The sequence below is a fragment of the Homo sapiens genome, chromosome 18, assembly GCF_000001405.40.
Source record: "Homo sapiens chromosome 18, GRCh38.p14 Primary Assembly".
Lineage (NCBI taxonomy): Eukaryota > Metazoa > Chordata > Mammalia > Primates > Hominidae > Homo > Homo sapiens.
This window is the reverse complement of record NC_000018.10, coordinates 50,350,760-50,374,962: the sequence shown is the minus strand read 5'-3', so window position 1 is coordinate 50,374,962 and position 24,203 is coordinate 50,350,760. Positions and strand designations below refer to the sequence as shown.

At 40.1% G+C, this 24,203-nt stretch overlaps 1 long non-coding RNA gene across 1 annotated transcript, besides 1 other annotated feature; it reads left to right on the top strand.

Moving 5' to 3' along the window:
* Positions 1-84: 84 nt before the first annotated feature.
* On the top strand, positions 85-20,954 carry LOC105372114 (uncharacterized). The gene is made up of 3 exons (XR_935466.3): positions 85-368; positions 19,011-19,105; positions 20,519-20,954. It is a non-coding gene; the product is annotated as an uncharacterized LOC105372114 (long non-coding RNA).
* Positions 1,130-1,424: a silencer, noted in NCBI's record as "tiled region #4563; HepG2 Repressive non-DNase unmatched - State 2:TssF". NCBI's record gives its function as "represses a minimal TATA promoter and a strong SV40 promoter by Sharpr-MPRA in HepG2 cells {active_cell/tissue: HepG2}" and the evidence as "EXISTENCE:reporter gene assay evidence [ECO:0000049][PMID:27701403]".
* Positions 20,955-24,203: the final 3,249 nt, after the last annotated feature.

The following is a 24,203-nucleotide window of genomic DNA, read 5'->3' as shown; positions in this document are numbered from 1 at the left end:
CCGAGCCGGGGAAAGGCGGGGCGACGGCGAAGGCGGGGCTTCCGGACGAAAGGGTAACCCGGAGGTGCTCTTTCCGCGCTAACCAGTCTGGGGAGATTTCAGCAGGTCATGCAGTCTTGACCGCAGCCCAGCCAGGGACCTGGCGTCACCAAGTCCTGGTCTTTGACATTTGCTGCACCTTAGAGTCACCAGGGGCAGCTATTACAAGTCTCAGTGCCTAGAGTACACCCCAAGTCGGTGAAATCAGACACTGGGGAAATGAGGCACAAGCCTTAGTATTTATAAAAACACCCCAGAAAATTCCAAAGAGCAGCTAAGTTTGTGTGGAAGAAACAGTGACCCTGTCTTCTGGGTCTTAGACAGCCTCTGTAAGTGTTCCCGGGCCAAACCAGGGGTTGGGCTGCTTATTCTCATGATGAACTGGGAAAGAAGAGTTTATTTCGGTAACCGGGTACAGGGAAAAGGCCTGGAAAATATCGCCAAATCGATTCAAAATTACAAAGTTTTCCAGAGCTTATATACCTTCTAAACTATCTGTCTACATGTAAGTGTGCATGTGTGTAAAGACGTAAATGATTAACTGTTTCTAATCTATAACTAAGATCAGTCCTAAGGAAGGTCTTTATTTAAGTAAATTTACTTAATCTAGATGGCTGCAGGTGCCAGAGGTGATTACCCTTATCTTGTCTCCTGCTAAATCATGAAGGTTTGGGCAGTTCCTTCAGACCCCCGATAAACTTGTTTGTGGAGGTCTGGGGGAGTTTCTTCAGACCCCCAATAAAAACTTGTTTAATCTTGAACAGGTCCTGTTAAGAATTCCTTCTTTATTTTCTCATGCTTCAAGGACCAGGAAAGGCCTGGGCAAAACTCTTGGTGGGCTTTTGTTACATACCAGCCTTTCTATAAAGACACTGGCTCTTTCAGCTTTTAATATTTAACTTAACTAGTGCTGAAACAGTGGTTACGGAGGCCTGTCTGTTCAGCTGTTAGTGAGACCTGGCCTGCCACTTAAGAGCAAATATAAATTTAAAATAAGAAAAACAAAAGTTTAATTCTCCCTGTTGAAAAGGAGGGAAAAGCACCCAAGGCTGGAGTGGTGGCACCGCCAGGTTCTGTCCATCCCTTGGCTCCACTGCGCTATTATTATGCACTTGGACCTTCAGGCTGCCAGCCCCTGTCCTCAGGTCTTTCTCCCAGGCAGCAGAAACGAGCAAGAGGCATGTGTAATAGGCTTAACTGCCAACAGAACCAGCACTTTGAGAGCGTTGTGCTGGAAGCCACACCCAGTGGCTTCCATCTGCTTCTCACTGGTCACTCCCATCTGCGAAGGAGACTGAAAAAAATCTTTTGTAAAAAATGTAATCTGGACAGTTACTTTCACTCATGTCCGTATGAAGAGACCACCAAACTGGCCTTTGTGTGAGCAACAAGGCTGTTTATTTCACCTGAGTGCAGGCGGGCTGAGTCCGAAAAGACAGTCAGCTAAGGGAGATAGGGGTGGGGTCGTTTTATAAGATTTGGGTAGGTAAAGGAAAATTACAGTCAAAGGGGGTTGTTCTCTGGCAGGCAGGGGTGGGGGTCACCAGGTGCTCAGTGGGGGAGCTTTTGAGCCAGGATGAGCCAGGAGAAGGAATTTCACAAGGTAATGTCATCAGTTAAGGCAGGAACAGGCCATTTTCACTTCTTTTGAGATTCTTCAGTTACTTCAGGCCATCTGGATGTATACGTGCAGGTCACAGGGGATATGATGACTTAGCTTGGGCTCAGAGGCCTGACAGTTACATTGCATCCTCGAGACTTAAGTTTAGCCTAAAGTTGCCTCCATACATATTTTAAGTTGTGCCTAAAGTTTTCTCTGTAAGTCGCAAACTATAACCTAAATGAAGGTGTAAACAGACTGTAATCTACTCTTGTGCCAGTCACTGAGTTATGGCCGATGAAAGGGGGCCAGCTGCTCAAACCGTGTTCAAATAAGGCAAACACTGACTGTAACCAATCCAGCTGTTGCTATACCTCACTTCCTTTTCTGTACATCACTTCCTTTTTCTGTCTATAAATCTTCCACCACATGGCTGTGCTGAAGTGTCTCTGAACCTACTCCGGCTGGGGAGGCTGCCCGATTGGTGGAATCATTCTTTGTTCAAGTAAACACTGTTAAATTTAATTAGGCTAAAGTTTTTCTTTTAACAGACTATAGGAGTTCTATTTGTAAGGGAGAATGAGAGCATAGATACTGGGTAGGGAAGGAGTTCAGAACACACCACCTCAAAACATGCCACTGTAGCATATTGATTCTTTTGAGTGAAAAGCACTTAAAAAGCAGCAGGTGCAAGAAGGGCACACTGGCCTTCCTTTTTCTTCCTGAAAGCAGAAGATGGAAGTCCCATGTGAGAGATGTCCTCACTACACCAAGAGGAAAGAAACATTCTTATCCCTAGACATGAGAAGTCAAAGACAAGAGACATCTGTACAAACAAAACTTGTTGTGCTTACCGGTATCTTCCTAGTCACTTCTCCATGATTCATTGCCCAAATCTAAGCCCCTTTTTCTTGTCATATTTTCACAATTTACTACTCTGTCCAATATGGTATATAAGCATTTAGCTCTAACTGAATCTTTGGGTCTTCATTTTTCTTGTGAGGATTCCCATGTACAAGTAAAAAAAATTATTAATATTGTATGCTTTTCTCTTGTTAATCTGTACTATTTCAGTTCTGGCCAGAGACCTTAGGAGGGTGGAAGAAAATTGTATCCGTCACTGTATAATTTCCTCATGTTATATCATCACATGAACAATTCTAGATTATTTATGAATTTCATATTTTTCATACCCAGCTGACTTTGAAAGAAAAGATTTTATTTTTATTTTTTGTATTTCTACTTTGTGCTTTTTCTTACAGCTAGGTGTCAAGGTTAACTTCTGGATGTCCCCAAGTCAGAATTAACTAAGAGCCTCATTGTAGAATTAGGATTGAGGATCTCTGTAAGCAACAGGATTGCATTTCTGGGCATTTTGGGAAACATTTATTCTAATGTTTTGACCAATGACAAGTGACCAGCTGGTCCAATAGGTTTTGGGGCAGCTTCATAGATCTCTGGTGCTGATAAGTCTTCATTCAGAAGAGGGAGGGCCCACTGAAATAGATGGGGTGCATTCTGAGATGCCTCACTGATCAGAATTGACCCAAGGCAGATTATATTTTTACATTTCCTATTAATCTACAGTCCTTTGGCTTGTTTTTAAGTCTTTTTCCAGCTGACATAATTAAAATCCATTGCATGTACTTGTAACACAGTACTCACTGGGATAATTTCTTAATTCTCACAAGCAGTCATAGCAGCTGAGACAAATCATTTCAGAAAATCAAACTCTTCCCTTTTTCAATGTCTCATGTCCTCAAATGATATGTAGTTCTTGTGGTGTTGGTTGATTTATTTGCTTTAAACCAGAGAAGAGAGGAAGAAGAAAAATGTCTTACAATTTTCCTGGTGTTCTTTCTTTACCATATTGAGTCTTTATCCAATATATACTTTTTTAGCATTGTAGTCAGAGCCCCAATTTCTGTGCCACCAGAGCTACCCCTAACAAAGGCCCAGTGCTCTGTAATATGAATAGAGGCAGGAAAGGAAAGTACTCAACATGCAAAACTTCTCGCTCCCTCTCTTTCTTTCTCAGTCTCTCTTTCTGATGTCGAAAATGACACCCATACATGAGACAAGGGAAGATGGAAAAAAAAGATGGAGACCTTCTCCTCAGTCATTAAATGGCTCTGTGAACTTGGAAAGTGGATGGTTTTTTGTTTTGTTTTGTTTTGTTTTGTTTTGTTTTTTTTCTGAGATGGAGTCTTGCTTCATCACCCAGGCTGGAGTGCAGTGGTGCAACCACGGCTTACTGCAACCTCTGCCTCCTAGTTTCAAGCAATTCTGCTGCCTCAGTCTCCTGAGTAGCTGGGATTACAGGCATGTGCCACCACACCCAGTGAATTTTTGTATTTTTAGTGGAAACGGGGTTTTGCCATGTTGGCCAGGCTGGTCTCAAACTCCTGACCTCAGGTCATCCACCCCCGTCAGCCTCTCAAACTGCTGGGATTACAGGCATGAGCTGCTGCCCCCAGCCCAAAAGTGGATGGTTTCTGAGATCACTTCCAGCTCAAAACACTAGGTTCTTTTTCTTGTGAAAAGTATTTCATTCTTCCTGTAGCCTGCTTAAAAAATATAAATATGTTGCTGTAGAAGAGATGGACTTCTAAGTTTAAAAGAATAGAGACTGCCTCACAGTTTTTCTTCCCCTACTTCTTAACAAGATGCACCCAAAATCAGTTTAAAAAAAAGAAAACCTCTCCCCAAAAAATCAATAATAATTGCCAACAAGGAAAGGGAGATAGTGGAATGCAAAACTTTAAAAAGTGATATCAGGGAGGAAAATGAAGGATTCTGGAGCACAGAGGATAAGTAGCCTGGCTCCTAATCACACACCACCCCTGAAGTCATTTGAAAAGCCCCATATCTGATAATTGAAACCCTGAAGATTAACAACTGGAAAATAGCCTTTCTTTTTTCTCTCTTCATAGCCATGGCTCTAATTCATTCTAGTTTCCCTCTGGGAAAATTACCTAAAGGTTAGGCATATTCCCTAAAGGGATGGACCACTCCTTGAAATTGTGAAAAAGCAGAACATTGGTTCAGGGCATCTAACAAAGAAAGGAAATGAAGAGGGAGGCAAGAAAGGAAGACCCCCTGCAAAGATTGATAAAGAAACTGACCTGGGAGAATACATGATTAAAGTAATAGTAATAAACTGTGTATTTGTGTATATACGTTATATATACATTAACTAATTTAAAATAAGACCTCATAGAGAAGAACATAAACAGCAGCAACAGAAACAGATAAATGGAGATCATCACACTTAAAAATACAAAGTGAGGATCCAAACAACACCATTCAACACACTGAAGTACAAATTGGAAGGAATAGAAAAGACACTACTGGAAGCTAAGTTAAAAGAAAATCTTAAGATCATAACAATACATGCAGCTGAAAAGAAAATAAATTAAAGCAAATACAACAAAGCCCACAGAATCAGAATGTAGAAATGATCCAACATGAGGATAATTGGTGTCCTAAATGCAAAGTGCCCCAAAATATGGAACAGAAGAATTCAGAAGATGTAATAAAGGGGATTACATAGAAGAAAAAAAATGAACCTCTAGATGGAGACACACATTGCAGTCCAGGAAAATTTATTAAGAGAGGTTTTATAACTAGAATATACAACTTAAAGAAAGAGTTACTTAAGCATCCAGGCAAAAAGCAAATTGGCTATAAATGGGGAAAAAAATCAGGCTGGACAACTGCAGAGTAACATTTTCCCCCCAACTTTTTATTTTGAAAAATTTCAAACTTACAGGAAAATGAAAAGAGTAGAATACCAAATATTCATACACCTTTCACTTAAAATTTTCAAATGGTAACATGTTGCAACATTGTGCTCCCTAGGTATCTACGCATATGTAGTCATGGTTTAAAAATGTGTCCACAAATTATTTGATGCCCTTCCATCAAGAGGTAGAGTGTAAGTCCCTTCCCTTTAAAAATAGGCTGCCCTCAGAGAGAAAGGTCAGGTTACCCACAAAGGGAAGCCCATCAGACTAACAGCGGATCTCTCAACAGAAACTCTACAAGCCAGAAGAGAGTGGGGGCCAATATTCAACATTCTTAAAGAAAAGAATTTTCAACCCAGAATTTCATATCCAGCCAAACTAAGCTTCATAAGTGAAGGAGAAATAAAATCCTTTACAGACAAGCAAATGCTGAGAGATTTTGTCACCACCAGGCCTTCCTGAAGGAAGCACTAAACATGGAAAGGAACAATTGGTAACAGCCACTGCAAAAACATGCCAAATTGTAAAGACCATCGATGCTAGGAAGAAACTGCATCAACTAACAAGCAAAATACCCAGCTAACATCATAATGACAGGATCAAATTACACATAAAAATATTAAACGTAAATGGGCTAAATGCTCCAATTAAAAGACACAGATTGGCAAATTGGATAGAGTCAAGACCCATCACTGTGCTGTATTCAGGAGACCCATCTCACATGCAGAGACACACATAGGCTCAAAATAAAGGGATGGAGGAAGATCTACCAAGCAAATGGAAAACAAAAAAAGCAGGGGTTGCAATCCTAGTCTCTGATAAAACACACTTTAAACCAACAAAGATCAAAAGAGACAAAGAAGGCCATTACATAATGGTAAAGGGATCAATTCAACAAGAAGAGTTAATTATCCTAAATTTATATGCACCCAGTACAGGAGCACCCAGATTCATAAAGCAAGTCCTTAGAGACCTACAAAGAGACTTAGACTCCCACACAATAATAATGGGAGACTTTAACACCCCACTGTCAACATTAGACAGATAAACGAGACAGAAAGTTAACAAGGATATCCAGGAATTGAACTCGGCTCTACACCAAGCAGACCTAATAGACATCTACAGAACTCTCCACCCCAAATCAACAGAATATACATTCTTCTCAGCACCACATCACACTTATTCCAAAAGTGACCACATAGTTGGAAGTAAAGCACTCCTCAGCAAATGTAAAAGAACAGAAATTATAACAAACTGTCTTTCAGACCACAGTGCAATCAAATTAGAACTCAGGATTAAGAAACTCACTCAAAACCACTCAACTACATGGAAACTGAACAACCTGCTCCTGAATGACTACTGGGTATATAATGAAATGAAAGCAGAAATAAAGATGTTCTTTGAAACCGATGAAAACAAAGACACAACATACCAGAATCTCTCAGACACATTTAAAGCTGTGTGTAGAGGGAAATTTATAGCACTAAATGCCCACAAAAGAAAGCAGGAAAGATCTAAAATTGACACCCTAACATCACAACAAAAAGAACTAGAGAAGCAAGAGCAAACACATTCAAAAGCTAGCAGAAGGCAAGAAATAGCTAAGATCAGAGCAGAACTGAAGGAGATACAGACACAAAAAACCCTTCAAAAAATCAATGAATCCAGGAGCTGGTTTTTTGAAAGGATCAACAAAATTGATAGACCACCAGCAAGACTAATAAAGAAGAAAAGAAGAATCAGATAGATGCAATAAAAAATGATAAAGGGGATATCACTACCAATCCCAAAGAAATACAAACTACCATCAGAGAATACTATAAACACCTCTATGCAAATAAACTAGAAAATCTAGAAGAAATGGATAAATTCCTGGACACATACACCATCCCAAGACTAAACCAGGAAGATGTTGAATCCCTGAATAGACAAATAACAGGCTCTGAAATTAAGGCAATAATTAATAGCCTACCAACCAAAAAAAGTCTAGGACCAGGCAGATTCACAGCTGAATTCTACCAGAGGTACAAAGAGAAGCTGGTACCATTCCTTCTGAAACTATTCCAATCAATAGAAAAAGAGGGAATCCTCCCTAACTCATTTTATGAGGCCAGCATCATCCTGATACCAAAGCCTGGCAGAGACACAACAAAAAAAGAGAATTTTAGACCAATATCCCTGATGAACATCCATGCAGAAATCCTCAATAAAATACTGGCAAACCGAATCCAGCAGCACATCAAAAAGCTTATCCACCACAATCATGTTGGCTTCACCCCTGGGATGCAAGGCTGGTTCAACATATGCAAATGAATAAACGTAATCCATCATATTAACAGAACCAAAGACAAAAACCACATTATTATCTCAATAGATGCAGAAAAGGCCTTTGACAAAATTCAGCAGCGCTTCATGCTAAAAACTCTCAATAAACTAGGTATTGATGGAACATATCTCAAAATAATAAGAGCTATTTATGACAAACCCACAGCCAATATCATACTGAATGGGCAAAAACTGGAAGCATTCCTTTTGAAAACTGGCACAAGACAGGGATGCCCTCTCTCACCACTCCTATTCAACATAGTGTTGGAAGTTCTGGCCAGGACAATCAGGCAAGAGAAAGAAATAAAGGGTATTCAATTAGGAAAAGAGGACATCAAATTGTCCCTGTTGGCAGATGACATGATTGTATATTTAGAAAACCCCATTGTCTCAGCCCCAAATCTCCTTAAGCTGGTAAGGAACTTCAGCAAAGTCTCAGGATACAAAATCAATCTGCAAAAATCACAAACATTCCTATACACCAATAACAGACAAACAGAGTGCCAAATCATGAGTGAACTGCCATTCACAGTTGCTTCAGAGAATAAAATACCTAGGAATCCAACTTACAAAGGATGTGAAGGACCTCTTCAAGGAGAACTACAAACTACTGCTCAACTAAATAAAAGAGGACACAAACAAATGGAAGAATATTCCATGCTCATGGATAGGAAGAATCAATATCATGAAAATGGCCATACTGCCCAAGGTAATTTATAGATTCAATGCCATCCCCATCAAGCTACCAATGACTTTCTTCACAGAATTGGAAAAAACTACTTTAAAATTCACATGGAACCAAAAAAGAGCCTGCATTGCCAAGACAATCCTAAGCCAAAAGAACAAAGCTGAAGGCATCACGCGACCTGACTTCAAACTATGCTGCAAGGCTACAGTAAGCAAAACAGCATGGTACTGGTACTAAAACAGAGATATAGACCAAAGGAACAGTACAGAGCCCTCAGAAATAGTATCACACATCTACGACCATCTGATCTTTGACAAACCTGACAAAAATAAGAAATGGGAAAAGGATTCCCTATTTAATGAATGGTGCTGGGAAAACTGGCTAGCCATATGGAGAAAGCTGAAACTGGATCCCTTCCTTACACCTTATACAAAAATTAATTCAAGATGAATTAAAGACTTAAATGTTAGACCTAAAACCATAAAAACCCTAGAAGAAAACCTAGGCAATACCATTGAGGACATAGGCATGGGCAAGGACTTCCTGCCTAAAACACCAAAAGCAATGACAACAAAAGCCAAAATAGACAAATGGGATCTAATTAAACTAAAGAGCTTCTGCACAGCAAAAGAAACCACCATCAGAGTGAACAGGCAACCTACAGAACGGAAGAAAATTTTCACAATCTACCCATCTGGAAAGGACTAATATCCAGAATCTACAAAGAACTTAAACAAATTTATAGGAAAAAATCAACCCCATCAAAAAGTGGGTGAAGGATATGAACAGACACTTTTCAAAAGAAGATATTTATGCAGCCAACAGACACATAAAAAAATGCTCATCATCACTGGCCATCAGAGAAATGCAAATCAAAACCACAATGAGATACCATCTCACACCAGTTAGAATGGCGATCATTAAAAAGTCAGGAAACAGATGCTGGAGAGGATGTGGAGAAATAGGAACACTTTTACACTGTTGGTGGGACTGTAAACTAGTTCAACTGTTGTAGAAGACAAGTGTGGCGATTCCTCAAGGATCTAGAACCAGAAATACCATTTGACCCAGCCATCCCATTACTGGGATTATAAATCATGCTGCTATAAAGACACATGCACACGTATGTTTACTGTGGCATTATTCACAATAGCAAAGACTTGGAACCAACCCAAATGTCCATCAATGATAGACTGGATTAAGAAAATGTGGCACATATACACCATGGAATACTATGCAGCCATAAAAAATGATGAGTTCATGTCCTTTGTAGAGACATGGATGAAGCTGGAAACCATCATTCTGAGCAAACTATCCCAAGGACAGAAAACCAAACACCGTATGTTCTCACTTATAAGTAGTAATTGAACAATGAGAACACTTGGACACAGGGTGGGGAACATCACACACCAGGGCCTGTTGTGGGGTTGGGGGAGGAGGGAGGGATAGCATTAGGAGATATACCTAATGTAAATGACGAGTTAATGGGTGCAGCACACCAACATGGCACATGTATACATATGTAACAAACCTGCACGTTGTGCACATGTACCCTAGAACTTGAAGTGTAATAAAAATAAATAAATAAAAATAAAAAGTCTGGCCTTAGTTCATCATTGCCAATGAATAGACTATTTCAAAAGCAATATTTTGTGAATTCCAAGGCTAGTTCATAGAAAATGGTACAGCTTACACCTCTCTCTTTATATTAGAACACTCAACTTTGTTTCTCAAGGCTTATGCTGTAGAATGAATGTTTATGTCCCTCCTCAAATTCTTATTTTGAAACCTAACCACTAAGGTGATGTTATTAGAACACAAGCCCTTTGGGAGGTTATTGGGTCATGCGGGCACACCTTATGAATGGGATTAGTGCTCTTATAAAAGGTACCCCAAAGAACTGCTGCACCCCTCTGCCATGTGAGGTCATTCTGCCATATACAGCCATCTATCAACCAGGAATCAGGCTCTCACCAGACACTGAATATGCTAGCACCTTGATCTTTGACTTCCAAGCCTTCAGAAGTGTGAAAAATAAATTTATGTGGTATATATGCCCCCAGTCTGTGGTATTCTGTTACAGCAGCCTGAATGGAATAAGATAGCTAAATTTCTGCTGAGTGTGGCCAAAGGTTGGGGACTCCCTTGTCTACCTAGCCCCTACTCGCAGGATAGAGGCTCTACCCTAGGCTTGGCAGAACAAGACTACCATGGTCCCAATCACCCCTGCTGCAGCTCACTCATTGAGCAGAGGTTCCATGCCAAGATAGGCAAGCTAAAAAGACCAGCAGCCACTATCCTCATCCAGCACCACAGTACTGGTTCAAACGTTCTGCCCATGAGGAGAGAGATAGCATTTAAGAACAGAGAGTCCTGAAGTTCTGCAGAAAGGAACTGACTTTGAGACAGGGTGTAGGGACGTTCAAGCCTAAGGGTGCCTTGAAAACAATGGAGATTTTGGTGTAAAGCAAACGAGGAGGTTGGTATCTCCTCTTAATTAATCAGAACAAAACCATCTAGTTCACCAGAGAGAAACAAGAGATAACCAAGAATAGTCCTCCTGGGATTAAAACAAACTTCAAATTTGTTTTAATTTGCCTGACAGATTGACTTCTGGCATGACAGCTTGAGGACCTCTGCTGATTCTATCCCCAGTGAAATTATTAAAAAGCATTAAAAGTATTAAAAAGCAATGACTTGAAGCCTCTGAAAATGGTCCTCAGGGCAAATAACAAACAATGAAACAGTTATCATATGGCCCCATTTTTACAAAAGTATTTCCTCCTCTCTAGGTATTTCTTTAATCACATACGTGATTTTAAAAAATGTTCTGTCAAATGGTGCTCAACTAATAACTACGATTAATTCTCAGCAATGGGATGTGGTGTGATTTTTATTTTCATTTTTGCATTTTTATGCACTCTGAGTTTTTATTTGTAAGCATCTATCATTTTAATAAGGAAGTAAATCAGCATGAATTTTTATAAAGAAGGAAGTTTGGGCTGGGTGCAGTGGCTCACACCTGTAACCCCAGCACTTTGGGAGGCTGAGGCAAGTGGATCACTTGAGGCTAGCAGTTCAAGACCAGCCTGGTCAATACAGTGAGACCCAATTTCTACAAAAAACAAAATTTAATAATTAGCTGGATGTAAAAAAAATTACCTGGGTGGCATGCACCTGCAGTCCCACCTCAGAAGGCTGAGGTGGGAGGATTGCTTGAGCCCAAGAGTTCAAGGTTACAGTGAACTATGATTGTGCCACTGGACTCCAGCCTGAGTGACAGAGCAAGACCTTATCTCTAAAAAGAAAAAAACAAAAAACAAACAAAAAAGGGAGTTTGGACAAGAAGTAAATATGCCAATCAGGTAACACACATTGCTATGACATTATAGGATGTTTTCTGTATTTTCCTTTTTAAAAATTATTTAATTACTTTATTTTTTATAAATAGAGACGAGATCTCACTGTGTTACCTAAGCTGGTCTCAAACTCCTGTACTCAAGCGATCCTCCCTCCTCAGCCTCCGAAAGTGCTGGGATTACAGGCATGATCCACTGCACCTGGCCTGTATTTTCAATAGACATAAGTGAGGCACACACTGTCTTAGCTCAGGCTGCTATAAGAAAATATCATAGACTGGGTGGCTTAAACAACAAACATTTATTTCTCACTGTCTTAGAGGCTGGGAAGTCCAAGATCAAGGTGCCAGCTGACTGAGTTCCTGATAAGGGCCCACTCCCTGACTTCCAGGTAGCTGTCATTGTGTCTTCACGTGGTGAACAGAGAGAGAGAGAGAGAGAGAGATCTTCCTCTTCATATAAGGCCACTAATCCTATAAGCCCCACTCTTGAGACCTCATTAACTTTAATTACCTCCTAAAAGCTGTATTTCCAAAGTCAGTCATGTTGGAAGTTAGGGCTTCAACATGTGAATTTTTGGGAAACACAATTCAGTCTATAGCACATACATATAATTTTTTTGTTTTACTATGAAAGGCTAAACTTTTATGTCTCCAGCTGTTAGTGTCTAGCATTTTAATGTGACAGAATGTGTTTAGAGAATAAGAGGATAAAATAAGGGGGGAAGGAACAAAGACACACACAACAAAATTTATTTAACGATGTCCAATTATAGTAAGAAAAACTTTCCTCCTTCAGGTTGCAGTGAGTTGAGATTGTGCCATTGCACTCCAGCCTGGGCAACAAGAGTGAAACTCTGTCTCAAAAAAAAAAAAAGAAAAACTTTCCTCCTTCTAGTTCACGTTAGAGGATGGCTGCTGCATAAGGGGGTATAAAATGTCCAACCCAAGCAATAACAATATCTGAATAATCCCACAAACCCTCACAGGCTATAGGTGCACTGACCTCAAGAGTGACTTAGAGACTGGGCATGGTGGTTCATGCCTGTGATTCCAGCACTCGGGGAGGCTGAGATGGGTGGATTGCTTGAGACCAGGAGTTTGAGACCAGCCTGGCCAGCATAGCGAGACCCCCCATCTCTATTTTTTAAAAAAATTTTAAAAAACAACAATAAAGAGTGATTCAGAGCTGACTGGAAATTGGAGCACTGCCTTCTGTTTAAAGAAAAGGAGGCTGGGTGTGGGGCTCATACCTGTAATCCTAACACTTCAGTAGGCCAAGGCAAGCTGATTGCCTGAGCTCAGGAGTTCAGGACCACCCTGGGCAACATGGTGAAACCCTATCTGTACTAAAAATACAAAAAAAAAAAAAACAAATTAGCCAGGCCTGGTGGCGCATGCCTGTAGTCCCAGCTACTTCGGAGGCTGAGGCACGAGAATCCTTTGAACCTGGGAAGTGGATGTTGCAGTGAGCTGAGTCGCGCCACTTCACTCCAACGCAGGCAACAAAGGGAGACTGTCTCAAAAAAAAAAAAAAAAAAAGAAAAAGAAGGAAAAAGAGATGTATTAACATAGCAGCTTTGTGGTACTGAATTGCTTGTTTTTTTTTTTGTTTATTTGTTTGTTTTAATAAGCAGAGATTGTATTTCAGCACCTTTTGCCCATGCTTCCTTTTCAACACAAAGGAAAAGAGTAAAAGCACTGTTACCATTCAAGGTGGAAAATTCAATTTGGATCACTGGAGGAGAATTTAATAAAAAGAAATATTTAAAATATATGGGTAGTTTACAGAAGATAGCAAATGATGATGGAGTTCTCTGGGGCTTGCAATCTCAGGGAACAGTTATTATTACCTCTAAGCACAAAGATTGAAGGTCATGGGGTGAGGGGTCTATGGAATGGGTCACCTGACAGGAACTATGGCCTTCAGTATCAATTCAGAGAACACTCATGGGGAGAATAAATACCTGCCTCCATTCTCCTCCCACCTATGGATCTTTTGCTGATAACCCTACACTGGTTGGCTGAACCCAACCTGAAGCCAGAAGGCAAAGGAAACCCTAGGTCAGCACCCACATTCCCCCACTGGGTCCAGGACTGGCTGGAAAACCACAGAGAGTGGATCTTAGGGGGCAAATGGAAGACACCAGCACAAGCCTTTAGATTATGCTGTTCACATACTGACATACTTTGTGAATTTGATAAAGTATTTATCAGAACAGTCATTAGTATTTTACATATAAATATTTGAAATCAAGTACTATAATAAGTTACATAAGTATATCTTTTATTTGATAGGGATTTTTCCCAATGCATTTTAAGCACTTTAAAGGATATTGTTACGTTGGTATTTACAAAGTGGGCAGTTGTCCAGTTTCTGAGATAGAGAAGTATAAGGCTTGCCAAATTTCCTAGAATCAATTAGTTGTGGAAGCAGCTGCCAATCTGATCTCTAATAACGGGCCACAGCAAAGCCAGACAGAACCATTTTCATGTCATTTACATCAATGTTTTCATTTTGCCAGATAGGTTTTAATCTCCCAGGCCAAGGCATTTTTCTTGCTTATCTCCTGAAAGTTATTTTTTTTAAGGAAAAATTTAACTATAAAAAGGAAAACACAGAATTTCATTTTATTAACTGCCATTATGATGTGCAAGTCTATATAATGTATAATGAGGCAGTTTTGGTGTTTTAGAAGTCCTCTATGTGGATACAACTAAGCATACTGAGGTACAGATTCTGTATATAACCTTTATATAAGGTTAAATTAATAACATGTACTTCAAAGATGCTTATAGTAAATTGCAAGATTGTAGATCTTTGCATCAAAGATTTATCATACATCATTAGAGCACTCCCAAACCTCCAAATAAACTTCCCAGATAATTTAGAAAATGGTTAAATTATGATAGGAATCTTTCACGTGACATTGCATCACTGTTATAGCAGAGGGGACAAACCTAGGCACAGTGAATTCACCTTCCCAGATGCAATTGGTGTTTGAGAAAAATTGAGGCTGCCCAGAATGAGTCAAAGCTGCAAATGAGCTCCCCAGAGCCTGGCTACATTCAGGGGAGTAGAATGTGTGCCCCTACCATGATGGTTGGTAGAGCAGCAAAGCTCAGTACTCTGTTCACCATGTAGTGGTCACATGCACATTCTGCAGTTGAGTGGATTGGGTCTCCCTTGCCAGACTTGATGAAGCTGTTCCAAGGCCCAGATTTTCACCTCTGCATTTTCGCTTGTACCCTGTTGCCAAACCATTCACTTCACCTCAGTGCCTGGGCAGGAACATCACCACTGTGATTCTACTTTCATAAGCAGTGACAAGTGTGAGTTCACTGTTATGACAAAGGATGTGGTTGCCAATTCCGAAGCTGCTGTGGATGGCAGTAAGGCAGGATAGAGTGGAAGAGGCAAGCTGGTCACCTCACCCCCGAGCCCCACTCCACACAATGCATTTCTTTTTTTTTCTTTTTCTTTTTTTTTTTTTTTTTGAGACAGAGTTTTGCACTTGTTTGCCAGGCTGGAGTGTAATGGCAGGATCTTGGCTCACTGCAACCTCCTCCTTCCAGGTTCAAGCGATTCTCCTGCCTCAGCCTCCTGAGTAGCTGGGACTACAGGCATGTGCCACCATGCTCAGCTAATTTTGTATTTTTAGTAGAGACAGGGTTTCTGCACATTGGTCAGGCTGGTCTCAAACTCCCGACCTCAGGTGATCTGCCCACCTCAGCCTCCCAAAGTGCAGGATTATGAGCATGAGCCACCGCGCCCGGTCCACCCAATGCATTTCTTAACTGTCTGTCCTCCTGACTAGGGTCTACACCTCTCTGCCATCCATTATACTTCACTGGTCTTGCCCAGCTCCTGGTCTTGCCTCTTCCACTCTATCCTGCCTCACTGCCATCCACAGCAGCTTCAGAATTGGCAACGACATCCTTTGTCGTAACAGTGAACTCACACTTGTCATTGCTTATGAAAGTAGAATCACAATGGTGATGCAGTTGACAGGAGGGCAGCCACACCTGACATTATGGTCAGTAGTGAGCTTGGGGGTGATGGCAGCTCCCTTTCTGAAATGCTGATGTGGAAACCCAGGCTTCTTTGCATGAGGCACACATCCTCTCTTGATTTGGCCCCTGCCTGCCTCATCAGCTTCATCTTTCAGCACCTCCTGCTTGGACGTTTATCTCACAGCAACAGCTGCCTGTAGGGTTGCTCCTGTGCCCCTGTGTGTGACCCCCCACCCCTCCCTCTGCCATCAGGACACACACAAGCCCTGCCAGCCCACCCATGTTGTCTGACCCCACTAAGTCTTTGGTTATGATGTTCTTTCTACACCTCTCATTATTCTCTATCTCAATCATCCATTCATTTTTCAAAATGTAGTGAACGAATCCCCTCCCATTGGAAGCCTTCCTTGATCCCTTCTTGGATTAAGTTTCCCTGCGAGTTTTCTTCTGATTTAGTTGGTCTAGGGGTGGGGTTCAGAATCAGAAATTTAAAAACTCCTTGGATAATTCTAATGTGAATCAGAGTTGAAAGCCATTGAGGGAAAAGAAAGGGAAGATGGGAGGAAACAAGACGGTGGGGCTTTCCAGGTTCCTACCTGAGGCTCACTGGTCTTCTACTGAAATGCAACACCAGGAGGGGTGTCAGGAGTTGAACTGTGCTCACCCCACATTCATATTTCAAAGTCCTAACCCCCAATACCTCAAAATGTGACTTATTTGCAGATAGGATCTTTACAGAGGTAATCAAGTTAAAATGAGGTCATTTGCTGGGCCCTAAACCAATATGACTATTGTCTTTACAAAAAAGAGGAAATTTGGACATGAAGACATGCAGAGAGGATGGTGATGTGAACAGGCAGGGAGAAGATGGCCATACAAGCCAAGGAGAGAGGCTTGGAGCAGACCTTCCCCTCAGAGGAAACAACCCCTGCCAATACCTTGATTTCAAACTTCTTACCTCCAGCGCTGTGGACAATAAAGTTCTGTTGTGTAAGAAGCCACTCAGTTTGTGGTACTTTGTTTTGGCAACCTGAACAAATCAATACAGAGGGTAACAATAAGAAAAAGCCCTACCAGCGTATTGCTTGAGCTCAGGAGTTCAAGACCAGCCTGGGGACCATGGTGAAACCAGGTCTCTTAAAAAAAATACAAACATTAGTCAGGAGTGGTGGCACGCACCTGTAGTCACAGCTACTCAGGAGGCTGAGATGGGAGGATCGCTTGAGCCCAGGTGGATGAGGCTGCAGTAAGCCATGATGGTGTCACTGCACTCCAGCCTGGTTGACAGAGAAAGACCCTGTCTCAAACAAATAAATAAATAACAAAAGAAAAAGAAAAAAAAAATTCTCCACCATCCCTGGATTCACTTGTATTTCCTATGAGCTAAGCCTGGGCTCTTCCTGGTGATGGATTGAACTTATCTTTGCATTGAGGAGATATTGTTTTTAAAAATCATGAGCTCTAAAGGAAAGGTTTTTGTGTTCAATACACTCTGTAAGAAATGAATAAGAATGTTCAGATAATCTTTATGTAGGTCCTTAAGAGTTAAGCTTTGAGTAGAGAGGCTGTTTCTTGATGATGCCAAAAGGATGAAGTATTACCATAAAGCAGAACACGTTATCTCTGAGTGCTATCAATAAAGCTCCATCCAAATCATAGCTTACTTAGAATGCTGAATATTTGTCATCTTCCTCAAACGTGAGAAAACAGATTTTGGCTTTATTGTAATGCTGGCTGGAAGGTTTACTTGCCACATGGCCACAAGGTGGCAGGGCAGTGCCATTCTTCTGGAAGCCACCAGAAAAACGCAGCTAGGACTACGTGGCCACAGGTAGGAAGTCAGCAGTGCTCTTCAAGTTTATGAAGTTGAACTTTCGCTCTCTTTTTAAGCACTCCCTTTTTCTGAAAATCAAAGTAGCACATGTTTTTAATTGAAAATGTTATCCTGGGCAACATAGTGAGACCCTGACTTTATAAAAAATTTAAAAATTAGCCAGCTGTGGTGGTACACACCTGTAATCCCAGCTACTCAGGAGGCTGAGGCACGAGAATCACTTGAACCCAGGAGGTGGAGGCTGCAGTGAGTAGAGATTGTGCTGCTGCACTCCAGCCTGAGTGACAAAGAGAGACCCTGTCTCAAACACACACACACACACACACACACACACACACACACACAGAAAAATATAAAGAATAAAACAAAAAATTCATTATCCCACCACTCAGAAACAAACATGGGATGTGTAGACCATTCCCAGCCTTCTCTGCCAATGCCACCTGCTTAGGATACCCCTCTCTCACCTGCTCTGCAACACCCCTCCTGCCTTATCTCTCTCACTTCCTCACTCTGCCTAACGTGCCTCTCCCCATCTTTCTTCTTAACACTCACTACTATTTCACAGCAGTTGTCACTGCCTCCTCTGCTAGTCCGTGAGCACCATGTGGGCAGATAGCTTGTCCTGTCAACCCCTACCACCAGGAGCAGCAGTCCCAGGATGTCAACCCACTGCATTGCAGAACTGTCTATTTCTCCCTTCAAGTCTGTCATTTTTTTGGCTTCATACATTTTGGAGTTCTGTTGTTTGGTGCATGTCTCAGTCCCTTTTGTGTTGCTATAAAAGAATACCTGAGACTGGGTAATTTATAAAGAAAAGAGTTTTATTTAGCTCATGGTTCTGCAGGCTGAGGATCTCAATGGCATGACCCTGGCTCTGGCAAGGGCTTCTGTGCTGAGTCACAACATGACAGAGAAGGGCAAAGAGGAAGCAGACGTGTGAAGAAAGAGAAACATGAGGGGTGACCTGGCTTTGTAACAACCACACTTGTAGAAACTAATCAATTCCTGTGAGAACTAATCCAGATCCAGTCTTAAAATAGGAAGAACTCACTGACTATCTTGAGAACAGCACCAAGCCATTCATGAGGGATCTGCCCTTATGACCCAAACACTTCCCACTAGGCCCCACCTCCCAACACTACCACATTGGGAATCAAGTTTCAACACGAGCTTTGGCAGGAACAACAACAACAGCAAAACCATGCCCAAATCATAGCAGTGCATATATGTTTATTATTGTTACATCTTCTTGATAAATTGACCCTTTATCAATGAATAGTGAATTTGCTTGTCTTTTGTAATTTTAACTTCATGTCTATTTCATCTGATATTAGTGTAGTTATACCAGCTCTGTTTTGGCAACTATTTGTGTGGAATATCATTTTCTGTCTGTTTATTTTCAGCCTATTTGTATCTTTGGACCTAAAGTTAGTCTCTTGTGGGCAGACAACATGCTTTTATTTTTTAATCCATCCTGCCAGTTTTTGTCTTTTAACTGGTGAGTTTCAGTTATTTATATTTAAAGTGATTACTGATAAGGAAAGATTTACTTTTGCTACTTTGCTCTTAGTTTTATATATTTGTTATGTTTTCCCCCCAATTCTTTCAATATTGCTTTCTTGTTTAATTGATTTTTTTCTAATACAAAGTTTGGATTTCCTCCTAATTTTCTTTTCTGAATATTTAAAAATTATTTTCTTAGGAGCTGCCATGTACTTTCAATTAACATCCTAACTTTTTTTTAAAATAATCAATAGTTATCTCTCTGTATCTATGGAAGGTTGGTTCCAGGACCTCCCTTGGACCCCAAATCCTCAGATGCTCAAGTCTATATATAAGATGGTGTAGTATTTGCATATAATGTACACACATCTTCCTGTATACTTTAAACCATCTCTAGATTACTTACAATGCCTAATAAAATGTAAATGTTATATGAATAGCGGTTATGCTGTACTATTTTTCAAATCCATATGATTTCTAGTCATATTATCTGTGTTGATTTTTTTCAAATATTTTTGACCTTTGGTTGGTCAAATCCTCAGGTACAGAATGTGCAGGTACTGAGAAATAATTACAATTATTATCATTATGAAGAAATTTCAATACTGTAATTGAAATTTGTATCAGGTTAGCTTTAATAATATACAAAAACTCTGCTCCTATACAGCTGTCTCTTCCTAAATTACATCTTTATACATTGTCTCCCATTAACACATATTTATAATAATTTTATGCATTTGTCTTTTAAATTATATATGAAACAAAAAGAAAATTTACAAGGCAAAAACATAATAGTGGCTTTTGTATTTACCAATGTAGTTACCTTTACCAGAGTAGTTCTTTAAGGAAAAGAAAAAAGAAAGAAAGAACTACTCTGGTAAAAGTAACTACATTGGGTTTTTTGTCTGTCTGTTTGTTTGTTTTTTAGGCAAGGACTTGCACCCAGGCTGAACTACAGTAGCATTGCATGATCTTGACTTACTGCAGCCTCAACTTCACAGGCTCAAGCAATCCTCCCACTTTAGCCTCCAAAGTAGCTGGGACCACAGGGATGTGCTACCATGCCTGGTTAATTTTTCTATTTTTTGCAGAGATGGGGTCTCCCTATGTTGCCCAGGCTGGTCTTGAACTCCTGAGCTCAAGTGATCCTCCCACCTCAGCCTCTCAAAATACTGAGATTATAGGCATGATCCACCATGCCCAGCTTTATTTCTTTGTATGCCTTCTAACTCCAATCTTACGTCTTTTCATCCTGGAGAACTCTTTTTAATAGTTCTTGTAGGGCAGGTTGGCTAGTGATGAACTCTCTCAACTTTAATAGGGATATCTTAATTTTTGCTTCATTTCTGCAGTAGAATTTAGCCACATATAGAATTTTTGGTTGACAGCTTTTTTTTTTTTATTTCAGCACTTTAAATATGTAATCTACTGTCTTTTGGCCGACCTAGCTTCTGATGATAAATTGGCTGTTAAACTTATCAAGGATCCTTTGTACATCATGAGTCAATTATTCCTTGCTGCTTTCAAGATTCTCTGTCTGTCTTTGTCTTTTGAGAGGTTTATTATAGTATGTCTTGGTATGTATCCCTTTGAGTTTATCCTTCGTGGAGTTTGCTCAGCAACTTGGATGTATGGACTCATGTTTTCTTTTTATCAAAAGTCACTACCTCTTAATATTGTTGAAGTTTATTGAGTTATTATGTTTAGAGAACTAAAACAATGCCTGGCATATAACACCATTATGAAATATCAGTGTCTGTTTTTTAGTGTCAATCACTTCTGTCTAAATCTGAAAGGATCTAATCAAAACTCTAGTAAATACATATCCTCTCTGTGTCCCAATTTTCTCATCCTCAAATGTAAATAACAATAATACCAATCTCACAAGGTAGCTGTGAGAATTAATTGAGTTAATACATTTAAGAATTTATATATCTGGCAAATACTAATTTGCTATTATTACTATAATAATAATTATTATTGGTTGTAAATTCTAGTATATAAAAATCCCAGATTGAAGTTGCCAGTTTGTCTTGTAAGGAGGTTGGAAGTTGTCATTCCCATTTTCACAACAAGTAAAAAGCTGAAAAAACTGAAAATTAACCATTTTTTGTAGCTCCATCAGATAATTGAGGTCACAGGGCTAACCACTGCTTCCCAAGTTGGGAGTGAAATCATTGCTGGAGCCAGTACCAGGGTAGGAAAACATAAACTATAATGGATAAATTGCTGGAGTTTCAGTGTGGACAAACTTGACCTCTCAAAGGTCAAGTCTTAAGGGGTCCCACACAATCGTACATTTTGTCTTCAGTATCCCTACTAAGTTCTCACAATGAGAATTAAAAAAAAATCTCCCCATGTTTCTGGCATGGGGAGGAGAAAGTAGTCATTCTGAAATGTACACAGAGAATTCTACGGATGGTTCAACTTATAATTTTTTGACTTTATGATAGTGTGTAAGCAATATGCATTCAGTAGAAATTATATTTTGAATTTTGAGTTTTGATCTTTTCCAGGGCTAGCAATATAAGACACAATAATCTTTCTTGGTGCTGGGCAGTGGCAGCAAACCACAGCTCCTGGTCAGCCACATGATCACAAGGGTAAACAACTGATACTCTAAGGTGTACTGTGTTGCAAATAATTTTGTGTTTTTGTAAACCATCATGTATACAAAATGTCCATCTGTGTCTCCTGCTTCGAAGAAGAAGAAGAGGAGGAAGAAGAAGAAAGAAGAAGAAGGAAGAAAAAGAAGAAGAAGGATAAGGAGAAGGAAGAAGAAAGAAGAAAAGAAGAAGAAAGAAGGAAGGAGGAAGAAGGAAGAAGACGGAAGAAGAAGAAGAAAGAAGAAGAAGAAGAAAGCAATTACCTTTTTTTTTGAGGCAGGGTCTAGCTCTGTTGCCCGGGCTGGAGTGCGGTGGGCGCAATCATGGCTCACTGCAATCTCTGCCTCCCAGGCACAAGCGATCCTCCCATCTCACCTTCAGAGTAGCTGAGACTACAGGTGCATGCCACCATGCCAGCTAATTTTTTTGTAGGGACAGGGTTTCACCATGTTGCCCAGGCTGGTCTCGAACTCCTAGACTCAAGCGACCTACCCACCTTGGCTTCCCAAAGCACTGAGATTACAGGAATGAGCCACCATGCCCAGCCACAATTACTCTTTAAGGTAAAATTTTACTTAATTGCCCAGCATAAAGGCATTAAGCCAGTAATGGCCACTGCACATGTTAGAACCTTCACAATTGACAATCTCAACCATCTTAAAGGATAAGAAGCAAATAACTAATGCAGTGAAATTATCAATATTGGTTAAATCCACTCTCATCACAAAGGAAAGAGCTGGGCTAACTGATTATATGAAAAAAAATTATTTGTCATCGGGATGGAAAACCAGATAGAGACGAACATACCATTTAACCTACTGATGATCCAGGCTAAGGCAAGAAGTCTTTTCAACACATTAAAAGAATATGCAGATGATCCTAGATATATGCAAATGTTTACAGCAAGTCATGGGTAGTTCCAACGCTTCAAAAAGTGTCATAATTTTCATAATGTGAGGCCAGTGGTGAGGCAGCAAGTGCCAATACTGAAGGTGCTAAAGCTTTTAAGGAAGAGCTGCACAGGATAATTATAGACAAGAAATATTTTCCAGAACCAATATTTAATGTTGATGAAATGAGGTTGTTCTAGGAGTATATGTCAGAGCATACACACATTTATGAAGAGTCCAAGACAATGCCAGGATTCAGCACATTCAAAGACCGTTTTGCATTCTGCTTTTGAGTGGAAATGTTGAGGAGTTCAAATTAAAGTCTTTTCTAACCTAACACTCAGATAACTCTAGAGCATCCAAGAATGTGAGCAAGCAGACATTTCCTAATTATTGTCATCATAACAAGGAAGCCTGGGTGACATCTGCATTGTTTGAAGACTAATTTTTGACTATTTCATTCTGCAGGCAAGAGACTATTGTAGGAAATACAATATCCCATTCAAGATGTTTCTGATCTTAAATATTGCTCCAGGGCATTCACAATGTATCAGTGACATGCATTCTGATATAAAGGTTGTATATCTCAACCCTGAACACAGCCACACATTCTACCAAGGGACCAAGATGCAATAGCTCCATTCAAAGCATACCATTTATTCCGAAGCATACTGTTTCCCCTTCCATTCAATCTGCACCAATGATGAGCCCTAGACACCATCTGCTATTCAAGAAGTTTGTTCTGGTAGAGCTCTTACAAGGATGATAGCAGAAGCAGGCCAGTGGCATGGGTTAGATAAAACCAGAGGGTCAGATGACTGATTGACTGGGAGGGTCTCTGTCCAGACAACATTTTCAAAGTTTAGGGAATCTTTCCCACTTTTTTCATATCTGTGTTCAGTCCAGGTTAATTACCAGATTATTCTTTCATAAAGGGGGTTTAAGCTATTTTTGTAAGGGTAAGTTTTGTTTTAAGGCTTCTGAAAGTTGTATCTGTACAGAGGTACCCTTGTGCTCTAGGCCTTGCCTTCTGGAAATCACCATATCAGGTTGGAAATCCCTGGTCAGTTTGCATCATACTGCTGAGTAACACATAGTGCCATCCCTGTGGCATGATTAAGCGGTCTTTACGGCTACCATTAATCTTACAATATGTTTTCAGGTTCTAATGGGAAAAGTAGGCAACATGCAAGAACAAATGGGTACTCTAATAGAGAGAGGGAAACTCTAAGGATCAAAATGAAACAGCAGAAATGAAAAACAATGTAGCAGAAATGAAGAATGCTTTGATGGGCCCATCAATAGACTGGACATGCCAAGGAAAGAATCAGTGCTTGAAGATACGTCAGTAGAAACTTCCAAAATGGAAATGCCAAGAACAAAAAGAGAATGAAAAAGTCAGAAAAGAAAATCCAAGAACTGTGGGAGAATTACAAAAGGTGTAACATACATATAATGGAAATACCAGGAAAAAAAAAGAGAAAGGAGCAGAATAAATATTTGAAGTAACAGTGACAGAATTTCCTCAAATTAATGTCAGATACAAAACAACAGATTCAGTAAGCTCAGAAAAGCCCGAGTAAGATAAATATAAAAA